Raw genomic sequence first — 25,212 nt, 5'->3', positions numbered from 1 at the left:
GAGGCAGGAGAATCACTTGAACCTGGGAGGCAGAGGTTGCAGTGAGCTGAGATGGCGCCACTGCACTTCAGCCTAGGTGATAGAGCAAGATCCAGACTCAAAAAAAAAAAAAAAAAAAAAAAAAAACCCCAAAAAACTTCAGTGATACCACTTCACACCCACTAGGATGGCTATAATCAAAAAGAAGAGCAATAACTAGTGTTGAAGAGGATGTGGAGAAATCAGAACCCTCACATGTTGTTGGTGGGGATATAAAATGGTGCTGCTGCTTTGGAAAACAATTGGCAGTTCCTCAAAAAATTAAACATGGAATTACCCTATGGCCCAACAATTTCACTCCTAGTTATAGGCCCCAGAGAACTGAAAACATATGTTGAAACGCATGCACATGAATGTTCACAGGAACATTCTCCACATAGCCAAAAACTGGAAATAACACAAATGTCCATCAACTGATGAATGAATCAGCAAAATGTGGTATATCCATATCATGGAAGATTAATCTGCCATAAAAAAGAGATGAAGTACTTCTACACCATAAATGAAGCTTGAAAACATTATGCTAAGGCAAAAAAGTCCAGAATAGGTAAATTTATAGAGACAAAAAGTAGATTCATGGTTGCTAGGGAGAAAGGGATAGAAAGTGATGGCCAATAATTACGGGATTTTCGGGGTGGGGGCGGTGAAGAAATGCTCTGGATAACGGCAATGCTTACACAACGCTGTGGGTACACTAAAAACCACTAAATTTCACACATTAAAAGTGCAAATTTTCTGGTGTGTGAATTATACTCATTCACGATTTTCAAAAACACTATGTATCAAAATTGTGTAACTTAATTAACGATGTACTTAAAAGGAAATTTATCACTTTAGTTGCTTAAATTTTAAAAATCTAAATTAACGAAATAAGCATCTAATTTAAGAAGTCATAAAATAAAGTCAAAAAGTCAATCCAGGCCGAGCGTGGTGGCTCACGCCTATAATCCTAGCACTTTGGGAGCCCACAGCAGGGCGGATCAGTTGAGGTCAGGAATTCAAGACCAGCCTGGCCAACATGGTCAAACCTGGTATCTACTAAAAATACAAAAAAAAAAATTAGTTGGGCATGGTGGCGCATGCCTGTAATTCCAGTTACTTGGGAGGCTGAGGCAAGAGAATCGCTTAAACCCAGGAGGTGGAGGTTGCAGTGAGCCAAGATCGCACCACTCCAGCCGAGGTGACAGAGTGAGACTATCTCAAAAAAAAAAAAAAAAAAAAAAAATCAATCCAAAGAAAGTAGAAGGAATGAGATAATAAACAGTAAAGATTAATGATATATGAAAAAAATACTACCAGGCACTGTGGCACACACGTATAATCCCAGCCACTTGGGAGGCTGAAGTGAGAGGATCACCTGAGCCAGGAATTTAGGCTGCAGTGACCTAGGATCACAGAGGACTAGGATTGTGCCACTGCACTCCAGCCTGGGCAATAGAGCAAGACCCCATCTCTAAATAAATAAGTAAAAATAATAAAAGAAAAAGAAATACTATACAAAGGACCAACAAAGTCAAAAGTCTTTTTTTTTTTTTTTTTTTTTGAGACAGAGTCTCGCTCTATTGCCCGGGCTGGAGTGCAGTGGCGCGACCTCGGCTCACTGCAAGCTCTGTCTCCCAGGTTCACACCATTCTCCTGCCTCAGCCTCCCAAGCAGCTGGGACCACAGGCACCTGCCACTACGCCCGGCTAATTTTTTGTATTTTTAGTAGAGACGGGGTTTCACTGTGTTGGCCAGGATGGTCTCGATCTCCTGAGTGCAGCTGGCCAAAAGTCATTTATTTGTAAAGATTTATATTGACAAACTTCTTGCAGGATTAATAAAGACAAAAGAGACAATGCAAATGAGCAATCCCATGCATAAAAAGGGGACATTATTATACACGAGACATAAGAGTATATTAAGAGGGGGCTGGGTGCAGTGGCTCACGCCTGTAATCCCAGCACTTTGGGAGGCCGAGGCAGGAGGATCACAAGGTCAGATGATCGAGACCATGGTGAAACCCCATCTCTACTAAAAATACAAAAAAAAAAAAAAAAATTAGCCAGGCGTGGTGGTGGGCACCTGTAGTCCCAGCTACTCGGGAGGCTGAGGCAGGAGAATGGCGTGAACCCGGGAGGCAGAGCTTGCAGTAAGCTGAGATGGCACCACTGCACTCCAGCCTGGGCGACAGAGCAAGACTCTGTCTCAAAAAAAAAAAAAAGAGTATATTAAGGATAACTTTGTGCTAATAACTTTGAAAACAGATGCAAAGAATAAATTATTAGAAAATACAACTCAGGGCTGGGCACAGTGGCTCATGCCTGTAATCTCAGCACTTTGGGAGGCCAAGGTGGGAGGATCACTTGAGCCCAGGAATTCGAGATAAGCCTGGGCAACATAGTGAGACCCCCATCTCTATAAAAATAAAAAATTAGCCAATCATAGAGGCTCACACCTGTGTAGTCCCAGCTACTCAGGAGGCTGAGGCAGGATTTGAGCTCAGGAGTTCGAGGTTGCAGTGAGTAACCTCTCTCTAAAAAACCCTGTCTCTCTTAAAAAAAAAAAGAAAGAAAAAGAAAAAGAAAAAACAAAAGAAAATACAACTCATCAAAATTGGCTCAAGAAACAGAAAATCTGAACAATTCTATAACCTTTAACTTTCAATACTGAATATCATTAATCTTCATACAAAGAAAAAAGCAAGCCTGACAGCTTTACAGACAAGTTCTACCAACCATTCAAGCAACAAATCACTCCCATCTTAGGTAAACTCTTCTAGGAAACAGAAAAAGAGAGGATACTTCCCACCTCACTGTACAGGAAGAACATAGCACTGATACCAGTATGGTTAGTATAAGAAAGGAAAATAACAGGCAAACGTCACTCGTGACCATGTTGTTTTTATCTCAAGAATGTAAAGTTGATTTAACGTTAGAAAAGCAACAAATGCAATTTACCATTTTATTTTTTTTAAATGGGGTCATGTTCTGTTGCCCAGGGTGGAGTGCAGTGGCGCAAACATGGCTCACTGTAGCCTCTACCTCCCTGGCTCAAATGATCCTCCCTCCTCAGCCTCCTGAGTGGCTGGGACTACAGGTGTGTGCCACCATACCAGGCTAATTTTTTAAATTTTTTGTAGAGATGAGGTCTCACTGTATTGCCCAAGCTGTTCACAAATTCCTGGGACCATTTTAATAAATAAAAGAAAAAAGCATACTATCATCATAATATAGACAATTCAAAGTATTTAACAATATTAAACTTCATTAGTCTGATAAAAGGTATCCACAAAAAACCTAGATTAGAAAGGTACTTAGTGGTGAAAACTTCCCCTTTAAGAGTGAGGCTTAGTTAATAGGGTTGCTCCTAAAAATAAGAATAAAAAAAAGGGAGGAACAAGAGCAGGAAGCTCTACAGTTCTAGGCAGCATATTAGACAAGAAAAAGTAACAAAAGTTGTAAGAATTAGAAAAGAAGAAACAATCTGTCATTATTTGCAGATGCTATATTCCTAATTAGAAAACCAAAAAGGGCTGGACGCAGTGGCTCACTGTAATCCCAGCACTTTGGGAGGCCAAGGCAGGCAGATCACCTGAGGTCAGGAGTTCGAGACCACCCTGGCCAACATGGTGAAACCCTGTCTCTAATAAAAATACAAAAATTAGCCAGGTGTGGTGCCGCACGCCTGTAATCCCAGCTACTCGGGAAGCTGAGGCACGAGAATCACTTGAACCAGGGAAGCAGAAGTTGTAGTGAGCTAAGATCGTGCCAAAAAATACATACAGATGAATCAGTAAGATTAATTAGTTTTAAAAAATTTGCTGGATATAAAAACTACATCTAAAAGGTCAAATGCATGTTATCGTATGAGCAACAAGATCACTTGGGAGATGTAATTTTAAAGAACATACTATTTATAATAGAAACAAAATTATAGTGTACCTAGCATTAAATCTCAAGAGATGTATAAATTCTTTATGATAAAAAATACAACATTCTATTGAAAGACATTAAAGGCCAAAATAAATGAAGAGATACACCATATCCTTGGATAAGACTTAAAATTATAAAAATGTCAAGTCTCCCCAAATTGGTCTATAGGTTTCATGTAATTCCAAATTAAAATCTCAAAATGGTTTTTCAAAAGACTTGGTAAACTGATTCTAAAATTCATTTGGAAAAACAGAGGTCAAGAACAGCTAAGACAGATGCAGTGGCTCACGCCTGTAATCCCAGCAATTTGGGAGGCTAAGCCAGGTGGATCACTTGAGTTTGAAACCAGCCTGGCCAACATGGTGAAACCCCGTCTCTACTAAAAATACAAACATTAGCTGGATGTGGTGGCGGGCACCTGTAATCACAGCTACTCAGGAGGTTGAGGCAGAAGCATCATCTGAACCCAGGAGGCAGAGGTTGCAGTGAGCCGAGATCGCGCCACTGCACTCCAGCCTGGGCAACAGAGCAAGACTCCGTCTCAAAAAACAAAAACAAAAACAAAAAAAACCAACAACAAAAAAAACAGCTAAGAGACTCTTGAAGAAGGAATTTGCCCTGTCCAACAGCAGGACTTACACATCTGTAGTAATGGATTCAATGTGTTATCGGCAGAGGGATAGACCCAGGGACAGAATGGTGAGTCCAGAAACAGACCAACACATACCTCAGGACTACTTGAGGGCGCTAGTGCTGCTGGGGAGAGACGAGATGATGTATTTCTCAATAAATGGTACAGGGAACGGTGGTTATCTATTTGGGGAAAGACTGAAATTGGATCCCTACAAGGGAGAAGAATGCTTCAAAACAGAGGGCAGGGAGCCGTGCTGAGGATGCAGCACAGGAGGACAGAGCAGCGGCGGATCTGGCAAGGCCAAAGCTTAAGTGACCTTTGAGAGGGTGGTTTTAGCAGCATGGTAGGGATGAAGCTGGACTGGGAAGGGTTAAGCAATGAAGCAGAAGTGAGAAAGGAAATAGGGAGTATGGTAATTCCTGATAAATTGTGCTTTGAAGGAGGGCGGAGAAATGAACAGGGAAGTGGGGTCGAGAGGGTTGCTTTGTGTTAAGACAGAGGACTCTCCGTAATGACACTGGAGAGAGAGGTGACAGATGAAGGAGCAAATGCTTTCAGAGGTGAGGGAGAATGGGATCTGGAGCAGACGTGGGGGTCCCCATGAACAGGGACTGTTCTGCCACTGTCGCAGGTGGGGAGGCGATGAGGACACAGGCACAGGTGCAGAAGGCTGGGGGATTTGGAGGTGGGAACACAAGGTGTCCTGCAGGATGAAGTCTATCTTTTCAGTGAAGTGCAAGGCCAGGCCCGAAGGTGAGAGTAACAGTGGGGAGATATCGAGGTGAGAGTGGAAATGTTACTAACCAGTAGTGGAATTGCTGGGGATTATGGAAAATGCTCATTTGAGATTTGTGGCTAAGAATTTACAGGGAAAATATGGCATCGGTTATGTGATTTCTCTCCTGCCACACTCAATGGTTCCCAAGCCAGTGGAGATGGGTTTTGTGCCAGATGATGGGAGACAGGGGCCAGGGAACTGAAAGTGTTTGTAGGAACAAGATTAAAATGATAGCTCTAACCTAGGTAAGGAGAGAAGGCAAGATGGGAGAGGCAGGATGGTACGCAAGTGATGGGTTCAACGGACTGGCTTGGTCGAAGGGTTGAAGACTAAGGGAGTGGAAAGAGTCGAAGGTGGAGGTCAGAGAGCGGGTGTTTGCAAGACAAGGCAGCTCTGGTGCCCTCATGGTGGGGGCTGAGCTAAGGTAGAGAAAAAGCGTGCTGCAGTGAGAGTGACAAGGAACTGAGAGGCCAGGCTGTGGCCCACATCAGCCACATGGATCTAGAAGCCCAGGGAAAGGTGGCAAGAGAAGGCAAGAAGGGACCTGGCACAGTGGCGCACGCCTGTAATCCCAGCACTTTGGGAGGCCAAGGTGGTCGGATCACCTGAGGTCAGGAGATCGAGACCAGCCTGGCCAACATGGAGAAACCCTGCCTCTACTAAAAATACAAAAATTAGCTGGGTATGGTAGGTGCCTGTAATCCCAGCTACTCGGGAGGCTAAGGCAGGAGAATTGCTTGAATCCGGGAGATGGAGGTTGTAGTCAGCCAAGGCCACGCTACTGCACTCCAGCCTGGGCAACAGAGTGAGACTCTGTCTCAGAAAAAAAAAAGCGAAGGCAGGAGGGAAGGGCCCAGGAAAGGAGTGACAGGCAGGTGGCTGGATGGCCACAAGATCTTTGCCCCTCATGAGCACCCTGGGCTCAGGCCCCAAGACGGTGAGTCAAGCATGCCTCTTTAAAATTTACTAGGACATTTAATATTTTACTCCTCAAAGCAAATTCAAGAGATCAGCCTATATCTTGCAAGTGAGGAAACGGAGGCTCAGTAAGATGACGTGCCTTCTGGAGCCCCTAAGCCAGGAAGCAGCAAGACCCAGAGCCCGCCCCTGTGCACCTGGGTAGTTTCGGCAGCCCCCCGCGGTGCTCCCCCGCCGCCAGGTGCCTTCGTAGAGTGTGGTGTTCCATTTGCGGATGGTCCGGCTCTTGAGGGCGTCGGGTGTGAGGTTGCAGATCTCCAGGCGGGTGAACTCCCGCATGAAGTCTCGGAATGACATCCTGAGGTGGGAGGTACACAGGTGAGGCACAGCCCGTCAGGGCACAGAGCTGATGTGTAGGGGTGGAGAGGTGGGGTAGAAGGGGAGGGGGCGCTCACCAGAACTCCCCGTCCTCCATCTTGACCCGGAGCTGGTCCCGTTCATATGGGTCCACGTTGTTCCACTCTGAGGAGCTGTGAGGAGCAGGGCTCTGCCAGGGCTGGTGGGCACTGACCTGCCTGGCCTCTGTCCCTGGGGCCTGTCTACCCTGGCCTGTCTTCCCCCGGCCCAGCCCAGGTGGCCTCCTCAAGGTCAAGCGCCAAGGTTCCGCTTCTAGGGGGTGGTCTCATCAGGGCCAGTCTGATGCCCTGCACACACCCGACGGCTGGGCACAGGGGCCCGCACGGCCTGAGCTTTGTCAGAGCAGTCCCCCAGACCCAGTCGCGCGAAGATGGGCCCCTCTGCTCAATCCTGAGTCCAGCCTGGCCTGGTAGAGTCCCGAGCAGAAATGTCGGGGCACCTAACAGTTTCCCCAAGGCACTCCAGACAGTGCCCACTGCCCCTCACCTGTCGCTCCAGGCTCCCGTCCACTCCACCTCGCCCCAGGGGTTCCGCATCCGGATCAGGCTCACCACCTGGCCTCGGTAGTTCACCTATTTGCCAGAGCTCCTGTCAGTGCTAGCTTCCAGCAGGCACTTTTTTTTTTTTTCTTTTTTGAGACAGAGTCTTGCTCTGTCACCCAGGCTGGAGTGCAGTGGTGCGATCTCAGCTCACTGCAACCTCCGCCTCCTGGGTTCAAGCAATTCAATTCTCTTGCCTCAGCCTCCCAAATAGCTGGAATTACAGGCACCTGCCACCACACCCAGGTAGTTTTTGTATTTTTAGTAGAGACAGAGTTTCACCATGTTGGCCAGGCTGGTCTCGAACTCCTGACCTCAGGTGATCTGCCCACCTCAGCCTCCCAAAGTGTTGGGATTACAGGTGTGAGCCAGTGCACCTGGCCCATGCACGCACTTTAACACTCCGCCTCCCATACCCTCATCCTCTCCAAGCCCTGCTCAGCACCCAGATGAAGCCTGTCCTCTTGGAATTCACAGCCCAGGCAGGCAGCTGCACACATGAACTACAGTCAGTCAGGGCAGGACATGATAGGCATCTCAGATGGGTGTCCCCAGAAGAGAGATAAGGTGCTGCAGGAGGGGAAAGGAGGAGCCAGCACCTTCCACAGCCCTGGTCAGGTGCCAGAGAGGCAAGGACAGGCCAGGGGGCAGGAACCGCCCTTCAGGGAAGGCCCCACCCAGGGCAGTACCTGCTTGGCCCCGGTCACAGAGTAGGCATGGCCCTTCACCAACTTCTTGAAAGTGATGGCCTCCATGTCTAGAACGCTGGAGATCTGCAGAAAGAGGCACACACTGTGGTCAGTGGCTAGGTCCCCCCGCCCTATCAGATGAGCCCCCAGCACTCAGGGTCTTGGACGTTCCCACTTGCACATACAACAGTTGCTAGGAGAAGCAAGCAGGGACCCCGATCCCACCTATAGACACCCCCACATATAGATGCTGCTCTTTTGGAGAGGGGTAGCCTGGGTACCCCACCAATGCTGCCACTGGGACAGGGGAGCCCAGGCACTCCGCTGACACTGCTACTGGCCAGGGCTGACCAGAACCTGTGCGAACATGCATGTGCACACACACAGCCGTGCACAGCCCACCAGAGCCACACAGCCCTCAGTGGGCCTCACGGAGAAGGACGTGAGGACAGAAGAGTCAGTTAGAAATGGGAATGGGAGCTGGGGTTAGAGCTGCGGATGGCAGTGATACTGGGGTCAAGTCTGGCGTTGAGGACTGGGGAGCGGAGTTGAGTGTGGGAACAGAGGAGCAGGGAAGGGTGGGAATGGAGTGAGTGTGGGATTGAGGCTAGGGATGGGTGGGAACTGAGACCAGGAGATGAAATCTGAGGCTGGTGAACTGGACAGAGGATGGCATGGATTGAGATGACAGGAATGAGGGAAACAGCATGGTAGACGGGAAAACAAGCACAGGAAAGAGCTGAGGTGTGAAGTTTTGGGGGAGGAGTGGGTAGGTGAGGACAGGAGCGACACCAGGCATGGGGGGTGGAAGTGATGGATGAGGCAGGGTATGCATCCAGAGATGAAGCTTAAGTGCAGGACAGGGTCTGGAGCGGAGCCTGGGTGGGGATTTTAGAAAATGTGACAGGTCAGGATACCAGGGTTCCAGGGTACCAAAGCATCGGGGCCGGGCACACTCACGTCTATGGAGCAGCCCAGCAGGGAGCCCCGCTCCAGCGCCTTGAGGATGATCTGGTAGAGGTCACTGGGAGCCTTGCGCAACTCGTACCACTCGGTAACCCCGCCTGTGAAGTCCTCAAAGCCCTCTGAGGTGCTGCCCCCTGACAGGGCCTCGTAGCTGCCATTTACCCTGTGGGCAGCTCCAGGTCAGCACTCTGGCATCAAGCAGGACCCTCTGAGAAGACAGTCATGAGCCCCCACCCCTAGGGGGAGCTGGAAGCTGGAGTTGCCCCCTCAGCCGCTACTCACTTGGCATAGGCCTTCTCAAGCAGGGCGCTCCAGAACTCGTTGCCTTCGGCAGAGTGCACGAACACTAGCTTCCCGTCCTTGATGGGCAGCAGGTCATCCACGACCACGTCCACCCACTCCCCAAATTGCCACAGCTGTGGGGGAGGGGCACGGTGAGTACCTGCTTTGGAATCCCCCGGACCTGAGCTCCATCCTTACCCCTACCTTCCTAGATGCAGGATTCTACATCCCAGATACATACTAGATACACATAGACTAAATCATGTAAATTAGATACATACTAGATGTATACTAGGTCAGGTATACCAGATACATAGTAGATGCATGTATACTAAATCACATATACTAGATACATACTAGATGCATGTGTACCTCTAGATACATGTATGCTACAGATATACTAGATACATGTATCTAGGTATTGAAGGAAATCAAAGTATTTCACCCTGAAATATACTTCTTCAACATATTTTGAGATAGCTGTTCAGAGGGTCTGCAAACAGAAGTAGCCCTGTAATACTGTCTTTTGTGGGGGAGATTTGCATCTGTAGAGAAAATCTGCATTGATGTAGCCAGGCTTTCTCTAAGGCCTTCCCTTGTCAGACTGAGAGCCTGACACCCTTTAAAGGTCTGAACGAAACAATTACCATCTATTCCCTCTGAGGGCTGCTACCTGTGAGGTTTCATCTACATAACAAGACTGCCTTTGCTACCCAGGCCCCCTTTTCTCCCCCTTCCATAGTCTGTCTTGCCACTATAACCTGATTTACCACCAGAAACTGGTTTTGGCCATGTTCGAGCCCCCATTCTTCCTGTAACCTCAGGATGGTATATAGGCTTCTGTACCCATTGTGGGGCTGGGGTGAACACTCTGTGGTTCCCGACCCCACGCTGCAGGCTAATCAATTTGTATGCCATTTCTCCTACTAACCTCCTTTTGTGAGTTGATTTTTCAGTGAACCTTCAGAGGGCTAAGGGGATGCTTTCCTTTGCCTGTACAATGTATACTAGATACCTGCATATTTGCTGTATACTAATACATGCATACCACATATAGACATGTGTATACTTGATATGTACATGTATGCTCGAGACATACTAGCTACATGATCCTGGAAAAGTTATCGCCTCTGAGCCTCAGTTTCCCTATCCATAAAAAGGAGCAGCGGTGCCTTCTTCACGGAAGACTTAAACAAGAGCACAGGCAAAGCCTTTAGGGAGTCACTGAACAAACAGGGTTCCTCCTCAGGCACGGAGAGGTGGAAAAGCTCTGGGGCCTGGGCTTTCCGGAACTAGCCCCCTTTTAGGCCATGGCCCCCTGGCTCTTCCCTCCCTATTCAAGGGGGTTAGGGGCACCTGTGTCATTGGATGAGCAGTGAAAATGTGGCATCCAGATCCTACAACCACAAGATGGGCAGGACTGGTTCTCACAATCACGGGCTTTGTTTCTGAGATGCCACAAAGGCCACGTTTCCCAGGGCAGGGTCGGGGCCGAAGGCGTCTGGGGTCAGAAGCGACCAAGGACTCGAGGTACCATCTGAGGGGTCGGGGCCAGGACAACGGGGGGCGGGGCGGGGTGGAGGCGGCCCTAGGAGCCCAGGTTGCGGAGAGTGTGGGTGGCGGGTACTGAACTGGCCAATCGGAGGCCAGGGAGGAGCGGATTGGAGGAGCGAGGGAAGGGGGCGAGACTGCGCCCCTGCAGACTGGAGCAGGTGGGTGTGGCGCTGGGCCAAAGTGGATCCGCACTGTGGGTTCCGCACCCTGGGTTCCGAGGGCCACCTCCACCCGCGCAAGGCGGGCAAGGACAGAGTAGGGTAAGGGGCTCTCTAACCAGGCAGAAGGAGGGAACACCCAAGAGTCCTTCGGGCAGGGCTGGGGCCTCCAAGGCTGGAGAGTCTCATCCAGGGTTGCTGGGCATGTCCCTCCCAAAGGCAGCTCATTGAGAATTGATTGGTGTGACTTGAAAAATGGGCCCTGGGCACACCGTCAGGAAAAGCTGGTTTACGTAGACTTAATCCCGAGTCTTTCTTTTCTGCTGGGCTCAGTCAGACCTTGCCAAAGCGCAGGAGGAGTTGGGGGATAGGAGGCTTGACACGTGGAGAAGGCCACACGTGCTGATCTGTTTTCCCCAGCGAACACTCCTTTCTCAGATGGGGCAACTGAGACCGACCTCCGGGAGGAGTGGAATTTGTCCCACAGGATATAACACAAAAGTCTTTCTGTTCTTTCAAGCACTTTCCACCTGATACATACAACCACCTAGGAAAACTGCCAGCCGAAATACCTGCCCAGCCCAGTCACTTCACACATGACAGACCCGAGATGGCACTGAGAGGTCAAATACCTGCTAGAGGGAGGGCTGGCCCCACAGGGTGTGGCCCTAACTGCAGGTATTGTGGGTCATCCTTCCGCATCTCCCCCAGTGCCTGCTGCCCCTCCTCCCCAGGGGAGCCCTCACCTGGAAATGGAAGATGCCGGCATAGCCATTCTGGAAGCTCTGGCCGTGCGGAACCACTCGGTGCAGGAGGGTGTCGTTGAGAGTGAGGGAGGCGATGGCCGCCAAGAGCCAGCAGTCCCCTGGGGCAGGAGGGATGCACATTAGCCTGCTCTACCAACCTGCCCCGGGGGGGGAAGCGGGTGCTAGGGAGAATCTGGGGTTCCTTGGCCAGGGTGCCACTTAACTCCCCTCAGCTTGCAGAAAAGACCCAGGAATCTGGGCAAACCAGCCCCAGCGCTGATAGCCAGATCCTGCCTGGGCTTGCAAGAGGGAGGGGTTGGGGCAGAGCCTGAAGGAGCGGGAATGGGGAACTACTGTGGAAAAAATACCCGGGACCCGACGCCCTGGGGGCCTACCCAGTGCTCCCTGGCAGATGTCTGTGCGGGTAGCTCCATCCACAATGAACTGGGGGTTTGACAGCAGTTCCTACGAGAGACCCAGAGTCCTGTTCCTCGGCCAGCCCCTCCCAGAAATTGGCACCAGGCCACCCCAGACCCCATTCCCCACCAGGGACATGGAGTCCCATCCCTACTCCTCATCCAGGATCTGGCTTAGCCGAGTCCCACCCAGGATGGCCCCTCTCACCGTGGGACGCTTCCACTTGATGCCATAGGTCTTGGAGGAATTGGGACCCAGGTCCTTGTAACCCAGGCTCTGGGGTACCGGGGGGAAGGCCTCATCACGGAAGAGGGTCCCACTCTGCAGGCATCGCACCCGCAGCTGCTCATAATCCTGGCCCAGGTACTTGATGGCATTCTCATGGCGGCCCAGGCCCAGCTCCCTGGCCCGCTGCTTCTGCACTTGGGCTGACACCCCAGTGCAGTACACCGGCGTGATGATCTCCTCCGACATCCTGCCGGACAGATGGGCCTGCTCAGAACCCAGGCCTTCCCAAGACTAGAACCTGGGCTCCTGCCTGCAAGCTCTGCTCTCCTGCCCCTGCTTATCCATCCCCAAACCTAGGGTTTCCCTGCCTCACTGCTCCCCTCACAGAAGTAGGGTTCTCAGCCACCTCCCGGTGCTCCCAGTGAATCCAGGAAAGGGATTTCCCAGTTCCCAGGCGTGCCGGCCACCTCTCCTTTCCCGGATCCCATTGTCAGGGGCTTGCAGCTCTGTAGTGAGCCAGCAGGTCAGGTGGGGCAGGGCGGAGCCTCCAGACAGCACAAGGAACTGGGCAGGTGGGACACAGCAGGGAAGGCCTCTTTGATCCTGTTCACAGGCCTGCAACCCCCTCCCCAAACTAACCAAGCTCCTGGTGCACCGGCCCCTTGCCGTGGGCTGAAAACCCCAGACGGTCGGGGTCCCCCTCCTCAGGCCCCCGCAGCAGGCTCGATATCAGAGCTGGTGGGCCCTAGCCCAGCCCCTGGGGACAGCGGTGAGCCAGGCTGGGACAGGCGCCTGGGCTGTGCCGCTCCGCCAGCCCCCACCCCTGCTCCAGGAACGCAGAGGCCCCCGAGAAGGGACCGTGCTGGGGCAGCCCCTCAGCCCAGGAGCAGTGGCCAGGGTCAAGGAATCCCGGCTCGGCTACCCAGCTTCTTACCTGGGGGAGGGGTGTTTGGGGGTCGCTGCAGTCCCTGAGGCTGGCTTCCCGGTGGCAGCTCAGGGCAGGGCCCAACCAGGAAGAGCGCTCCTCCCCGCCCTCCTCCCGCCGCCCCTCCGCCCTCCGCCCTCCCTCTCTCCTTCTCCTCCTCCTCCTCCTGGGGCTCCTACCCCGCTTCCTCTCGGCTCTCCCTTATCTCTCCGGCACGGTCTCTGACTATCTCTTACTCACGGTGTCTCCCCGCCCCTCCCTCCGCAGGCCGGGGGCCAATTCCGCGAGAGGACAAATTAGTAAAAGGCAGAGCAGTCCCCGGGGAGGGGCCAGCGCGGGGGGGGATGGGGGGGCTGGGGCGCGGCGGAAGGGCACCGCGGGGAACGGAGGGGGAGGGCCGGGCAGGGGGTATTTTTAACCAGGGGCAGCAGCTCGAGTTGCAGGGCCGGACGGCCGCACCCCACGCGCGCCCTGGCGGGCATTCCGGGGCGATTGTGCGGCGGCGCCGCCTCCCGCAGCCCCGGGCCCGCCCGGTCCCCAGCTCCCCTCGCTCCGCGCGACCGCAGCTGCTCCCGCCGTTCCCAGCCAGCCCCGGCGCGGGGCCGAGATTACCTCGGGCTGCGGCAGCTGCTCTGAGGAGGGGCCGGGCTGGCAGCGAGCAGACCCCTGCCGGACACTCAGCAAACGGCAGCCTCACCCCGCAGGGCCGCGCCACTCCCCTTCCCCACCCCACCGCCGCGTCCCGGCTCAGCGCTCCCCGGGGAACGCAGGGGGACCGGGCTCGCTGCGTGACCTTGGGTAAGTCCCTGCCCCGTTCGGCCCGACTTTCCGCATGCGTGCATCCTATGGGATGGGGTTGGGCAATTGTGGGAGCCCATCTTTCTCTAACGTTCTGGGGTTTCTTGAACCTGGAAACTTAGAGAGGTGGACATCCCTGTTCTCTCCCCCAGGCTCTCAGCCCACCCACCTGGAAGCGCCCATGTGTCACCTTACCCAGGAGAGGGCGGCAGAGGCTGCGAGCAGGACGGCAGCCCCCTCTCCCCACCCCCAGGACCCTGAGATCCTGCTTCACGGGCTGCAAGAAGTTGGGGGGCCAGGATTCGGCGCGGAGGCCGGGGGTGTGGGTGGGGAGACTGCAGAGACTCCCGAGACCCCCCCAAGTCAGGGCTTTTCGCTGGTCTCGCAGCCCCAGCCCAGCAGCTGCTGCAGTCTTGCATGTTGTGGATGCAAGCATTTTGCTGAGGAAACTGCATAGCGTTCCCAGGACTCTAGGGCCCACGACCCCTCAAAAGTTAAGAGCCGCTGATCTAATCTAACCCCACTTTCACCCTCAGTTAACAAAAGAGGAAAACTGAGGCCTGAGAGGGTGTGACTTGCCTGAAATACCTAACCTGGTGAGTGATGGGTGGAACCAGCTCCTAGGCTTTCTGCGCAGGTGTCCAGGGACAGAGAAGGGTGGTTTAAACTAGAGAGGTGGCAGGCAGAAGTAGATGGATTTGATAACTATTTAGGATACACCATCAAAATTTAACTCAAACTGGATTACACACCTAAATATAAATGGCCAAACCATAAAACTTTTTTTTTTAAAAATGGAGACAATCTTAACAATATTGGGTTTGAAAAGATTTCTTTTTTCTTTTCTAAAGGCAGGGTCTTGCTTTCATTGACCAGGCAGGAGTGCAGTGCCCTGATCACAGCTCACTGTAACTTTAAACTCCTGGGCTCAAGAGATCCTCTCACCTCAGCCTCCTGAGTAGCTGAGACTACAGGCACGTGCCACGACACACAGCTAATTTTTAAATTTTTTGTAGAAATGGGGTCCTGCTGTGTTACTCAGGCTGGTCATGAACTCCTGGGCTCAAGCAGTCCTCCTGCCTGAGCCTCCCAAAGTGCTGGGATTACAGGTGTGAGCTTTGGCACCTGGCCAGATTTCTTAAATATGACACAAAAAGTGTAAATGATAGAAGAAATCAATAAATTGAACTTCATCAAAATAAAACGCTTTTGTTTCTCAAAATGCACGAAACTATTAAAAATGAAAAGATAAGCCATAGACTAGGACGAATATTTGTAAAAATTCTATCTGATGTAGGACTTGTATAAAGAACTTTTACAATTGAATAAAAATCCAATAAAAATGGACAAAACATTTGTTTGTTTTCTGGTGTTTGTTTTTGTTTTTGAGATGGAGTCCCGCTCCATCACCCAGGTTGGAATGCAGTGGCGCGATCCTGGCTCACTGCAACCTCCACCTCCTGGGTTCAAGCAATTCTCCTGCCTCAGCCTCCCCAGTAGCTGGGATTACAGGCGCCCGCCACCACACCAGGCTAATTTTTGTATTTTTAGTAGAGACAGGGTTTCACCATGTTAGCCAAGCTGGTCTCAAACTCCTGACCTCAAGTGATCTGCACGCCTCTGCCTCCCAAGGTGCTGGGATTACAGGGTGAGCCACCGCGCCTGTCAAAAAATGGACAAAACATTTGAACAGACACTTCATCCAAAAAGATCTCTGGATGGCAAATAGGCACATTAAAAAACACTGAGTGCATTACTCTTAGGGAAATGCAAATTAAAGCCACTAGAAGGACTGCTTCTAAAAGAACACCTACTAGAATGGCTAAAAGTTAAGATCAACCATACCAAGTGTTGTTATGTTGTCAAGGATATAGAAGAACTGGAGCTGTCATACACCAAGAGAGGGTAAAATGATCACCACCACTTTGGAAGACAGTTTGGCAATTTCTTTAAAATTTAGCGATACAAAGAAATCAGCCATCAAGCTACAAAAAGACATAGCATAACCTTAAACGCATATTGCTAAGTAAAAGAGGCTGGTATTAAAAAGCTGCATACTGTATGATTCCAATAACTCTATATGACGTTCTAGAAAAGGCAAAACTAGCAATGGTAAAAAGATCAGCAGTTGCCAGGGATTCAGAGGGGTAGGAGAGGGATGGAGCACAGGGCATTTTTAGCACAGCGAAACTATTCTGTATGATACTGTAATGACGGATGCATGACATGCATTTATCCAAACCTGCAGAATGTACAACACTAAGAGTGAACCTTAATGTAAACTATGGACTTGAATTAATAATATTGTGTCAATATTGGTTCATCAGTGATTACAAATATACCACAGGCTGAGCGCAGTGGCTCACCCCTGTAATCCCAGCACTTTAGGAGGCTGAGGTGGGCGGATCACATAAGGTCAGGAGTTCGAGAGACGAGCCTGGCCAATATGGCGAAACCCTGTCTCTACTAAAAAATACAAAAATTAGCTGGACGTGGTGGTGGGCTCCTGTAGTCCCCACTACTAGGGAGGCTGAGGTAGGAGAATCACTTGAACCCAGGAGATGGAGGTTGCAGTGAGCCAAGATCACACCATTGCACTCCAGCCTGGGCGACAAGAGCAAAACTCCGTCTCAAAAAAAAAAAAAAAATAGAACTTAGTCACTGGTTAGATATGGCTCTTGGACACCAGGAGAGACCAAAGACAACTTCAGACCCTGGATCTGGCTTGAGCACCTGAGTAGATTAAAGAGAAGGGGGAATGCACTAAGCTGGAGGGACAGTATGGGATCAGGGTATGGGGTATCTTTGGGATCCCCCTATCCAAGAGGAGATTCCTAGGGGTGAGGAACAGACCTTGTGCTCAAAATAGAGGTACAAATTTGGGAGTCACTAGCCACCAAAAAGCAGAGGCAAGGGGGCTGACACCTTGGTCTTCATATGAAGATGCTTCATATAGATGTCAATTCTCCTTAAATTAATCTCTAAGTGTATCACAATGAAAAATTTTAAGAGTCTTCTGGTGGGAGATAAGGAGGGACTAGAAAAGCTGATTTAAAGGTCATATGGCAAATTAAACAAGTAGGAAACTTCTGAAAATAAAAGACATAATGAGTATAGACTAATCCTACCAGATATTAAAACACAACAAATCTATCATTAAAAGGTAATAATTAAAGAGGGTTACTGACACATAGAGATCAATAGAAGACAGAGAAATTTAGAAACAGATTCAAATACAGGCAGGAATGTAGTAGATGATAAAAGTACCATTTCTAATCTGTTGAGAAAAGATGAGTTAATAAAAGACATTAGGAAGAAAAGGGAGCAATCTGGAAAAAAAGTAAGTTGGATTCATAATTTGTATCTTAGAAAAAATTACAGATGAACTCAATTTATAGGTTTGGAATATGTTGTTCCTAATGAAAAAAACATTTAAAAAGGCTGGGTGTGGTGGCTAACACCTGTAATCCTAGCACTTTGGGAGGCCAAGGTAGATGGATCACCTGAGGTCAGGAGTTCACGACCAGCCCGGCCAATATGGTGAAACCTCGTCTCTACTAAAAATACAAAAAAAAAAAAAAAAAAAGCTGGGCATGGTGGGTGGCAGGCGTTTGTAATCCCAGCTACTCGGGAGGCTGAGGCAGGAGAATTGTTTGAACCCAGGGGGCGGAGGTTGCAGTGAGCCGAGATTGCACCACTTCACTCCAGCCTGAGCAAAAGAGTGAGACTCCGTCTCAAAAAAATAAATAAAAATTTTTTTAAAAATTAAAAAATAAAAACTCTAGGTCTGGTGTGGTATCTCACACCACCTGTAATCCCAGCATTTTCGGAGCCTGAGGTGGGAGGCTCTCTTGAGCCTAGGGGTTCAAGGCCTCAGTGAGCACCGCTGCACTCTAGCCTGGGCAACAAAGCAAGACTCCATCTCTAAAAAATCAATAAAAAATAGGCCAGGCGCGGTGGTTCATGCCTGTAATCCCAGCACTTTGGGAGGCTGAGGCAGGTGGATCACGAGGTCAGGAGATCAAGACCATCCTGGCTAACACGGTGAAACCCCATCTCTACTAAAAATACAAAACGAATTAGCCGGGCGTGGTGGCGGGCGCCTGTAGTCCCAGCCACTTGGGAGGCTGAGGCAGGAGAATGGCGTGAACCCAGGAGGCAGAGCTTGCAGTGAGCCAAGATTGCGCCACTGCACTCCAGCCTCGGCGACAGAGTGAGACAACGTCTCAAAAAAAATAAATAAATAAAAATAAAAATTAAATGTTAACCTTCAATATTTAAACGTACAAAAATGAAAACGAAAATACAGCCAGAAGCTGGCTGGGCACGGTGGCTCATGCCTGTAATCCTAGCACTTTGGGAGGCTGAGGTGGGTGGATCACTTGAGGTCAGGTGTTCAAGACCAGCCTGGCCAACATCGTGAAACCCTATCTCTACTAAATATACAAAAATCAGCTGGGCATGGTGGCACACACCAGCAATCCCAGCTACTTGGGAGACTGAGGCACAAGAATTGCTTGAACCCGGGAGATGGAGGCGGAGGTTGCGGTGAGTGGAGATCGCACCATTGCACTCCAGCCTGGGCAACAAGAGCAAAACTCCATCTCAAAAAAAAAAAAAAAAAAATACAGCCAGGAGCTAAAGGAGAAACTTTTTGTATCATCTCAGTGTGGAAACAGTCTTTTTAACTATGACACAAAACCCAAAAGTCATAAAATTGCATTTTTTACTACATTAAAAATCCATACAGTTATGTCAAAATGATGGACTGAAGAAAACATTTACAATTAACATCTTAAAGGAGTATTTTTCTCCATATACATATATAAAAAATCATGTTCTGGGTGTGGTCGCTCATTCCTATAATCCTAACACTTTGGGAGGCCTAGACAGGAGGATTGATTGAGGCTAGGAGTTTGAGACTAGCCTGGGCAACATAATGAGACCCCATCTATAAAAAAATTAGAAAATTAGCCAGGTGTGGTGGTGCATGCCTGTCATCCCAGCTACTCCAGAGGCTGAGATGGGAGGGTGGCTTGAGCCCAGCAGTTGGAGGCTGCAGTGAGCTATGATTGTGCCACTTCCCTCCAGCCTGGGCAATAGAGCAAGATGCTGTCTCTAAGAATAAAATAAAAGTAAATCCCAGCACTTTGGGAGGCCAAAGTGGGTGGATCGCTTAAGCCCAGGAGTTCGAGATCAGCCTGGACAATACGGTGAGACCCTGTCTGTACCAAAAATACAAAAAGTTAGCTGGGCATGGTGGCCTGTAGTCCCAGCTATCCCAGAGGTCGAGGCTGCAGTGAGCTGTGATCGCACCACTGTATTCCAGCCTGGATGACAAAGCAAGACCCTGTCTCAAAAAAAAAAAGTTCACAAATAAAAGAAGACAAATAGGTCTTAAACATATGACAAGATGTTGAGCTCACTGAAAAGCAAATGTGAATTAAAATTTCACCAAGAGACTGTTTCCCACTTAGCAGTTTGGCAAAGATAAAAATCTGGCACCTCACGGCTGGGTGCGGTGGCTCACGCCTGTAATCCCAGCACTTTGGGAGGCCGAGGCAGGCAGATCACGAGGTCAGGAGGTCAAGATCAGCCTGACCAACATGATGAAACCCCGTTGCTACTAAAAATACAAAAAAAAAATTAGCCGGGCGTGGTGACGCACATCTGTAATCCCAGCTACTCAGGAGGCTGAGGCAGGAGAATCGCTTGAACCAGGGAGGCGGAGGTTGCTGCAAAGCATGGTGAGGCCCAGGTGAAGATCTGGAGGCACTCCTATGATGTCCCACCACCTCCAATGGAGCCCAACCATCCTTTCTATAGCAACATCAGTAAGGATCGCAGGTATGCAGACCTCACAGAAGATCTGCTACCCTCCTGTGAGAGTCTGAAGGACACTATTGCCAGAGCTCTGACCTTCTGGAATGAAGAAATAGTTCCCCAGATCAAGGAGGGGAAACGTGTACTGATTGCAGCCCATGGCAACAGCCTCCGGGGCATTGCCAAGCATCTGGAGGGTCTCTCTGAAGAGGCTATCATGGAGCTGAACCTGCCGACTGGTATTCCCATTGTCTATGAATGGGACAAGAACTTGAAGCCTATCAAGCCCATGCAGTTTCTGGGGGATGAAGAGATGGTACGCAAAGCCATGGAAGCTGTGGCTGCCCAGGGCAAGGCCAAGAAGTGAAGGCCAGCAGGGAGGATACTGTTCCCAGGAGCACCCTCCCTGCCTGTCTTGTCCCTCTGCCCCTCCCACCTGCACATGTCACACTGACCCCATCTGTAGACATCTTGAGTTGTAGCTGCAGATGGGGACCAGTGACTCCCATTTTCATTTTAGCCATTTTGTCTCCTGCACCCACTCCCTTCATACAATCTAGTCAGAATAGCACTTCTAGAGCACAGGTTCTCAGTCCAAGCTGTGGAAAAGCTCCCCTTATCCAACAGAGTTTAAAAGTAGTGACTTGGGTTTTTGCGAGTTGCTTTGTTTACTAAGGACTTGTGGGGAGGAACCATGCTAAGCCATGACCAATGAGGAGAAGCAACAGAGCCTGTCTGTCCCCAGGAGCCAGTCCTCTGCTCGTCTGCAGTCAGGCCACTGCCTGAGGGCTCTAGTCATTCCAGTGGAAGATGAATGTAACCTGCATGGTGATGTGACAACTGTTTCCTCCCTGACGCCAGAGGAGCTGGCTCTAGAAGGTTGGGATCAATCCTGAATTTAGTTATGTGTTACATTTAATTTAAGAAGTATAGTATATATAAATAATACAAAACAATAACCCTTCTGGGGTTTCTCGTGGCGGTTGAAATAGTCCCACATGTAGTCATCAGAAAATAAGCCATTCCTCATACCAATATAGGATCAGCTCCTTGACCTCTGAGGGGCAGGAGTGCTTCCTGGTGTGGGTATTACAATCCCTTCCTGCCTTGTTTCGTGACAGTGAAATGCCTCTTGGTCCTGTCCAAGTATGTCTTTCACTGATTTCTGAATCATGTTCTACTTGCTTGGCCCTGCCACATGGGTCCAGTGTTCATCTGAGCATAACTGTACTAAATCTTTTTCCAGATCAGTATAATAAAGGAGTGATGTGAAAAAAAAAAAAAAGAAAGAAAAAAAGAAATTAACCCTTTTGAGTCCTCATGTCTCTTGGGGGAGGGGGGTTGTTTATTATAATTACAATATTATATTTGACTGTAGCTCAAGGAAGGGATCAAGTCTTATTCCTAAGTAAACCTGGCCCTGAAGGCATTTCTAGACTAAATAAAGAGCTGTCTTCCATTCAAGTTTTGTTTCCCAATATGTTCCTGGCCTTTTTTTTTTTTTTTTTTGAGACAGAGTCTCACTCTGTCGTCCAGGCTGGAGTGCAGTGGCATGATCTCAACTCGCTGTAACCTCCGCCTCCACAGTTCAAGCAATTCTCCCACCTTGGCGTCCCGAGTAGCTGGGATTATAGGCACCTGCCACCATGCCTGGCTAGTTTCTGTATTTTTAGTAGCAAAGGGGTTTCACCATGTTGGCCAGGCTGTTTTTGAACTCCTGACCTCAAGTGATCCACCCGGCTCAGCCTCCCAAAGTGCTGGGATTACAGGTGTGAGCCACCACGTTCGGCTCCCTGGCCCTCTTCTAAGGGCTGCAGATACCTCATCTCATTTAATCCCATCTAGACTGTGTAGATCTCATCATCCATAGGCATGGATAGCACAGAGATGAAACTGAGGCTCAGAATAACTGGCCACCAATGGGAAGGGGCCAAGCTGTTACAGAGCCTGTGCTCACATGTTGTAACCCTGGTAGATACCCCCTCCCCACCCCAACCTTGGGTCAAGGAACCAGGCCAGGACCTAAGCACAGTTGGTGTCCTGTGGACATGAATTTATTAGAGGGGACTGGCACCAGAGTGGGCACAAGCTGCAGGCTGGGAGGAAGGGGCAGGGGTGGGAGCACAGCCAATGGTGTGTCAGTCAGTGGGCCAGCAGGCGTGCTGTTCTTCACCCTGCAGAGCTTCAGTGCCCAGGGCGTGCCGGAGGCTTTGGGAAGACTGGGGAGAGGAAAGAGTGAGGCTCAGAGAAGAAACCTGCCAAGCTCACACGGGAGGGGCAGCACGTCGACCCCAGGCCCATGGCCCTCTCTCTCATATTGTTGGTCCTCACTCCTGCCTCCCAAGCTCCCACACCAGCCCCCAGCTCCTGTCCCATCCTGCACTCACTGCGGAGGGAGTAGGTGCCTGGTTCCAGTTGCATCTGGGGAGGCAAGACGATGAGAAAGTCCCCACCCCAGGCGTTTTTGACCCTTGAGAGATAATTTTGGGAGGGAGGGCGATGACATTCAGAGGTCAGAGAAGGGCACTTGGATGACACAGGCTTAAGCAAGTGGCTGCTGCAGTGCTGGGGCAAACCACAGGGGGAACAGTGGGGCGGCGAGAGGCCAGGGCCCCGGGGAAGGCGAACAGGGACCTGTGGACAGACCCTCTGAACCCCACCATGGTGGGGGCGCCGGTCCCGAGTCCAAGCCCAGTGGAATGGCTCCTTTGCCATGACCTGGGAGGAGCAGAGTGGACAGTAAATGGGGTGGGAACCCCAGCCTTCCCCACACCCCAGGTTGCCTCCCAGCCTCACCTCCTCACAGCACTGGCGGCTCACAACAGCCCGGAAACCCATCCGTGCCCAAAGCTTATCCCTCTGGTGCAGGAATTTCCCCACTCGTAAACACCAATCTTTTCCCAGGGCCCATGGAAAAATCTCACATTTGGGGCCCTCCAGGTCCTCCTCCATGTCGTTTGCAAGGTACCTAGCCACAGAGGCACAAGGTCAGGGAGCAGAGGCCACACATCTGCCCTGTCCCATCTGACACCTCCAGCAAATGCCTCCACTGCCTGCCCCCACCACTCACAGGGCCAAGAACAGGCTGCTGTGGGTATACTCGCTGAGCTTCAGGTGGGCGCGCTGGAAGTAGACCAGCACCATGGCCAGGAGATACTGCAGAGACAGATCGGGGTGGGGGGTTAGTTATTCTCTGAGGAGGAGGGGCTTGCACCCAGGTTCATTTGCACCCAGGGAGGTTTTGCTGCAGGGAAAGAAAGTCAGTAAAATGGTGGGAAGTGGTGTGCAAAGATGAGGGGGTAAGGATGGAAGGTGAGTGGCTCTCCCTACCAGACCAGGGCACTCAATTCCCACCAACTCAACCTGACCCTCAAGAGACCCCCAGCCTGTACTCCCTCACCTTATCTGAAATCTGGAAGCAGGGGTCTTTGGAGAGGAATTCCTGGACAAAACTGTCCTCTGAGGGTAGAGAAGACATGACAGGACGCAGGTTACCACCACCTCCATGGAGAAGAGTGGCATCAGAAGCTCCAAAGCCCAAGCCACCACTGAACCCTCTCTCTCTTTCTCTTTTTCTCCCTTTTTCTCTTTCTCTCTCTCTTTCTTAATATAAATAGAAATGGAGTCTCACTATGTTGACCAGGCTGGTCTTGAACTCCTGGCCTGAAGTGATACTCCCATTTCAGCCTCCCAAAATGTTGGGATTATAGGTATGACTCACGGTGCCTGGCCCTGAATCCAGTTTCTGAGAGGACACCCCTCCCACCTGCCTAAGCTGGGATACCTGAGAGGGAGAGGGTCAGAGGTCTCAGATGTCTGTACAGGCAGGTGAGACCCCACACTTCACATCTGCTTTCACACTTGACCTCACGGCCCCTCCCGTGCCAGCCCTCCAAACTCACCCAGAAGGCTGAGGAAGGCCTGGACCTCCTGGTGCTGGCGAAAACGGAGGAACCCATTGCCCCCACCTTGCCGGCTGCAGCCCCCCAGCTCTACCTGGGTGGTAACTACAGGGGAAGTGGTGGGGTCTTGGGAGTCACTCATCTCATAGGAGATGGAGATGGGGCAGGGTGACCTGTAGAGAAAGGAGGCTCAGGACTTAGCATGTACCCCCGTGATGCTCACAAATCAAGAGGGTGGTGACAGGGGCCAGGACGGTGGAGGGGTGGGTGCAGAGACTTGGGGGCTCAGAACAGAAGGCAGCCGGGATGCAACAAGAGTGGGGAGGCCAGAAAAGAAGCAAAGAGTTGCTATAGGTGAGGGTGTGGCACCCTCACCCTCCTCCTGGCACCCCAGGACAGGCCAGAGTAACAGCAGCAACAAGCACCGCTGAGGGCTTCCTAAGTGCCTGGGGCTGTGCTTAAGGGCCTTATCTTATTCCATCCTGGTAAGGAGGTAAGTTTAACTCAGACCGGTCGTCAAACGAGGAAACTGAAGCTGAGGCCTAACAGCCGGTTAAAAGTGAAGCCCTTGGTCTCCAAAACCCCAAGAGGTTTTTTGGTTTTTGTTTGTTTGTTTTGAGACACAGTCTCTCTCTGTCGCCCAGACTGGAGTGCAGTGGCGCGATCTCGGCTCACTGCAACCTCCGCCTCCCGGGTTCAACTGATTCTCCAGCCTGAGCCTCCCGAGTAGCTGGGATTACAGGCATGCGCCATGCCACCACGCCCGGCTAATTTTTTTTGTATTTTTTTGGTAGAGACAGGGTTTCACCGTGTTGGCCAGGCTGGTCTCACACTCCTGACCTCCCAAAGTGCTGGGATTGCAGGCGTGAGCCACTGCGCCTGGCCAAAAAAAAAGAAAAAAAAAACCCAAGAGTTTAACTGCTCCTCTAGGCCCCAACTCACAACCACCCCCGACCCCTCACCAAAGCAGAGTTGAAAGGGCCACTGATCCCTTACACCGAGGGGAAACTGAGGCCCTCAGGGAGGAATGAAATTAGAAAAATACCTGGATTTAGAGCAAGTTGATGGGGCCACTTCAAACATTTCAAGCTCCCGTCCTAAACCCACCCTCATCCCTGAGAGAGAGAAGCCAACCACGGGGCCGAGGAGAACGTGCGGTCGACCACCCCAGGGCCAATCTGGGCCCCTCCATCTAGGCGCCCGCAAGCAACCCAGCCTCCTCCTGCAGCGAGCCTTACCCGAGCTCAGGAATGGCCCAGAGCATAACACCAACGCCGCCGCGAGTGCGCTTATATAGCCTGAGGGCGGCCCTGCCCAAAGCAGCCCGTCCACCAATCAGGGCCTTCCTGGGGGGCGAGGCTTGGCCTTCACCGCCTGCCTCTCTGCCAGTGAGTCCAGTCGGCACCCAGCTGTGGCTCCCCAGGGTTTGAAAGCCTCTCCAAAGCTTCATCAACTACAAGAGGGGTGAAGGCAGGCCAGCTGGAC

General features: G+C 50.8%; 2 protein-coding genes, 1 long non-coding RNA gene and 1 pseudogene across 9 annotated transcripts in view, besides 9 other annotated features; 2 read left to right on the top strand and 2 right to left on the bottom strand.

Annotated features, from left to right (window-relative positions):
• CAPN1 (calpain 1) overlaps positions 1–13,854 on the bottom strand; it is a 30,634-nt gene extending 16,780 nt beyond the window's left edge. The window contains exons 1-10 of one of the 6 annotated variants that reach the window (XM_006718698.3): positions 13,445–13,854; positions 12,259–12,526; positions 12,030–12,099; positions 11,635–11,753; positions 9,177–9,310; positions 8,889–9,057; positions 7,929–8,012; positions 7,187–7,272; positions 6,739–6,813; positions 6,481–6,641 (exon numbers count right to left, since the gene is read on the bottom strand). In XM_006718698.3, the coding sequence (XP_006718761.1) occupies positions 6,481–6,641; positions 6,739–6,813; positions 7,187–7,272; positions 7,929–8,012; positions 8,889–9,057; positions 9,177–9,310; positions 11,635–11,753; positions 12,030–12,099; positions 12,259–12,525 (1,165 nt within the window). In that variant the 5' untranslated portion in view covers position 12,526; positions 13,445–13,854. The other 5 variants (NM_001198868.2, NM_001198869.2, NM_005186.4 and 2 more) reach the window with 5 other exon arrangements.
• Positions 6,443–6,989: an enhancer, noted in NCBI's record as "H3K4me1 hESC enhancer chr11:64955709-64956255 (GRCh37/hg19 assembly coordinates)". NCBI's record gives its function as "activates a minimal SCP1, AML or CMV promoter by ChIP-STARR-seq in naive H9 embryonic stem cells {active_cell/tissue: H9 hESC(naive)}" and the evidence as "EXISTENCE:reporter gene assay evidence [ECO:0000049][PMID:30033119]".
• Positions 8,361–8,927: an enhancer, noted in NCBI's record as "H3K4me1 hESC enhancer chr11:64953771-64954337 (GRCh37/hg19 assembly coordinates)". NCBI's record gives its function as "activates a minimal SCP1, AML or CMV promoter by ChIP-STARR-seq in primed H9 embryonic stem cells {active_cell/tissue: H9 hESC(primed)}" and the evidence as "EXISTENCE:reporter gene assay evidence [ECO:0000049][PMID:30033119]".
• Positions 9,494–10,060: an enhancer, noted in NCBI's record as "NANOG-H3K4me1 hESC enhancer chr11:64952638-64953204 (GRCh37/hg19 assembly coordinates)". NCBI's record gives its function as "activates a minimal SCP1, AML or CMV promoter by ChIP-STARR-seq in primed H9 embryonic stem cells {active_cell/tissue: H9 hESC(primed)}" and the evidence as "EXISTENCE:reporter gene assay evidence [ECO:0000049][PMID:30033119]".
• Positions 11,244–12,033: an enhancer, noted in NCBI's record as "H3K27ac-H3K4me1 hESC enhancer chr11:64950665-64951454 (GRCh37/hg19 assembly coordinates)". NCBI's record gives its function as "activates a minimal SCP1, AML or CMV promoter by ChIP-STARR-seq in primed H9 embryonic stem cells {active_cell/tissue: H9 hESC(primed)}" and the evidence as "EXISTENCE:reporter gene assay evidence [ECO:0000049][PMID:30033119]".
• Positions 12,034–12,822: an enhancer, noted in NCBI's record as "H3K27ac-H3K4me1 hESC enhancer chr11:64949876-64950664 (GRCh37/hg19 assembly coordinates)". NCBI's record gives its function as "activates a minimal SCP1, AML or CMV promoter by ChIP-STARR-seq in naive H9 embryonic stem cells {active_cell/tissue: H9 hESC(naive)}" and the evidence as "EXISTENCE:reporter gene assay evidence [ECO:0000049][PMID:30033119]".
• Positions 12,034–13,980: a biological region, named in NCBI's record as "hESC enhancers GRCh37_chr11:64949086-64949875 and GRCh37_chr11:64949876-64950664".
• Positions 12,635–12,929: a silencer, noted in NCBI's record as "tiled region #13875; K562 Repressive DNase unmatched - State 1:Tss". NCBI's record gives its function as "represses a minimal TATA promoter and a strong SV40 promoter by Sharpr-MPRA in K562 cells {active_cell/tissue: K562}" and the evidence as "EXISTENCE:reporter gene assay evidence [ECO:0000049][PMID:27701403]".
• Positions 12,823–13,612: an enhancer, noted in NCBI's record as "H3K27ac hESC enhancer chr11:64949086-64949875 (GRCh37/hg19 assembly coordinates)". NCBI's record gives its function as "activates a minimal SCP1, AML or CMV promoter by ChIP-STARR-seq in naive H9 embryonic stem cells {active_cell/tissue: H9 hESC(naive)}" and the evidence as "EXISTENCE:reporter gene assay evidence [ECO:0000049][PMID:30033119]".
• On the top strand, positions 13,393–15,356 carry CAPN1-AS1 (CAPN1 antisense RNA 1). The gene is made up of 2 exons (NR_145677.1): positions 13,393–14,002; positions 14,155–15,356. It is a non-coding gene; the product is annotated as a CAPN1 antisense RNA 1 (long non-coding RNA).
• Positions 13,531–13,980: a silencer, noted in NCBI's record as "silent region_3511". NCBI's record gives its function as "represses an Ori minimal core promoter by ATAC-STARR-seq in GM12878 lymphoblastoid cells {active_cell/tissue: GM12878}" and the evidence as "EXISTENCE:reporter gene assay evidence [ECO:0000049][PMID:35858748]".
• PGAM1P8 (phosphoglycerate mutase 1 pseudogene 8) lies at positions 19,736–21,099 on the top strand (annotated as a pseudogene).
• Positions 21,853–24,994, bottom strand: SPDYC (speedy/RINGO cell cycle regulator family member C). Of its 2 annotated transcripts, NM_001008778.3 has the most exons (7): positions 24,966–24,994; positions 23,728–23,900; positions 23,226–23,284; positions 22,896–22,981; positions 22,622–22,793; positions 22,213–22,543; positions 21,853–22,044 (listed from the first exon to the last, which is right to left on the bottom strand). In NM_001008778.3, the coding sequence occupies exons 2-7, from the start codon at positions 23,867–23,869 to the stop codon at positions 22,010–22,012; spliced, it is 825 nt and encodes a 274-aa protein (NP_001008778.2). In that variant the 5' UTR covers positions 23,870–23,900; positions 24,966–24,994; the 3' UTR covers positions 21,853–22,009. The 2 variants fall into 2 exon arrangements, with proteins under 2 accessions (NP_001008778.2, XP_016873199.1); XM_017017710.2 differs by lacking the exon at positions 24,966–24,994 and having other exon boundaries at positions 22,213–22,246.
• Between the last annotated feature and the right edge of the window lie 218 nt (positions 24,995–25,212).

This window comes from Homo sapiens, chromosome 11 (genome assembly GCF_000001405.40).
Source record: "Homo sapiens chromosome 11, GRCh38.p14 Primary Assembly".
Lineage (NCBI taxonomy): Eukaryota > Metazoa > Chordata > Mammalia > Primates > Hominidae > Homo > Homo sapiens.
This window is presented reverse-complemented; position numbering and strand designations above follow the sequence as displayed.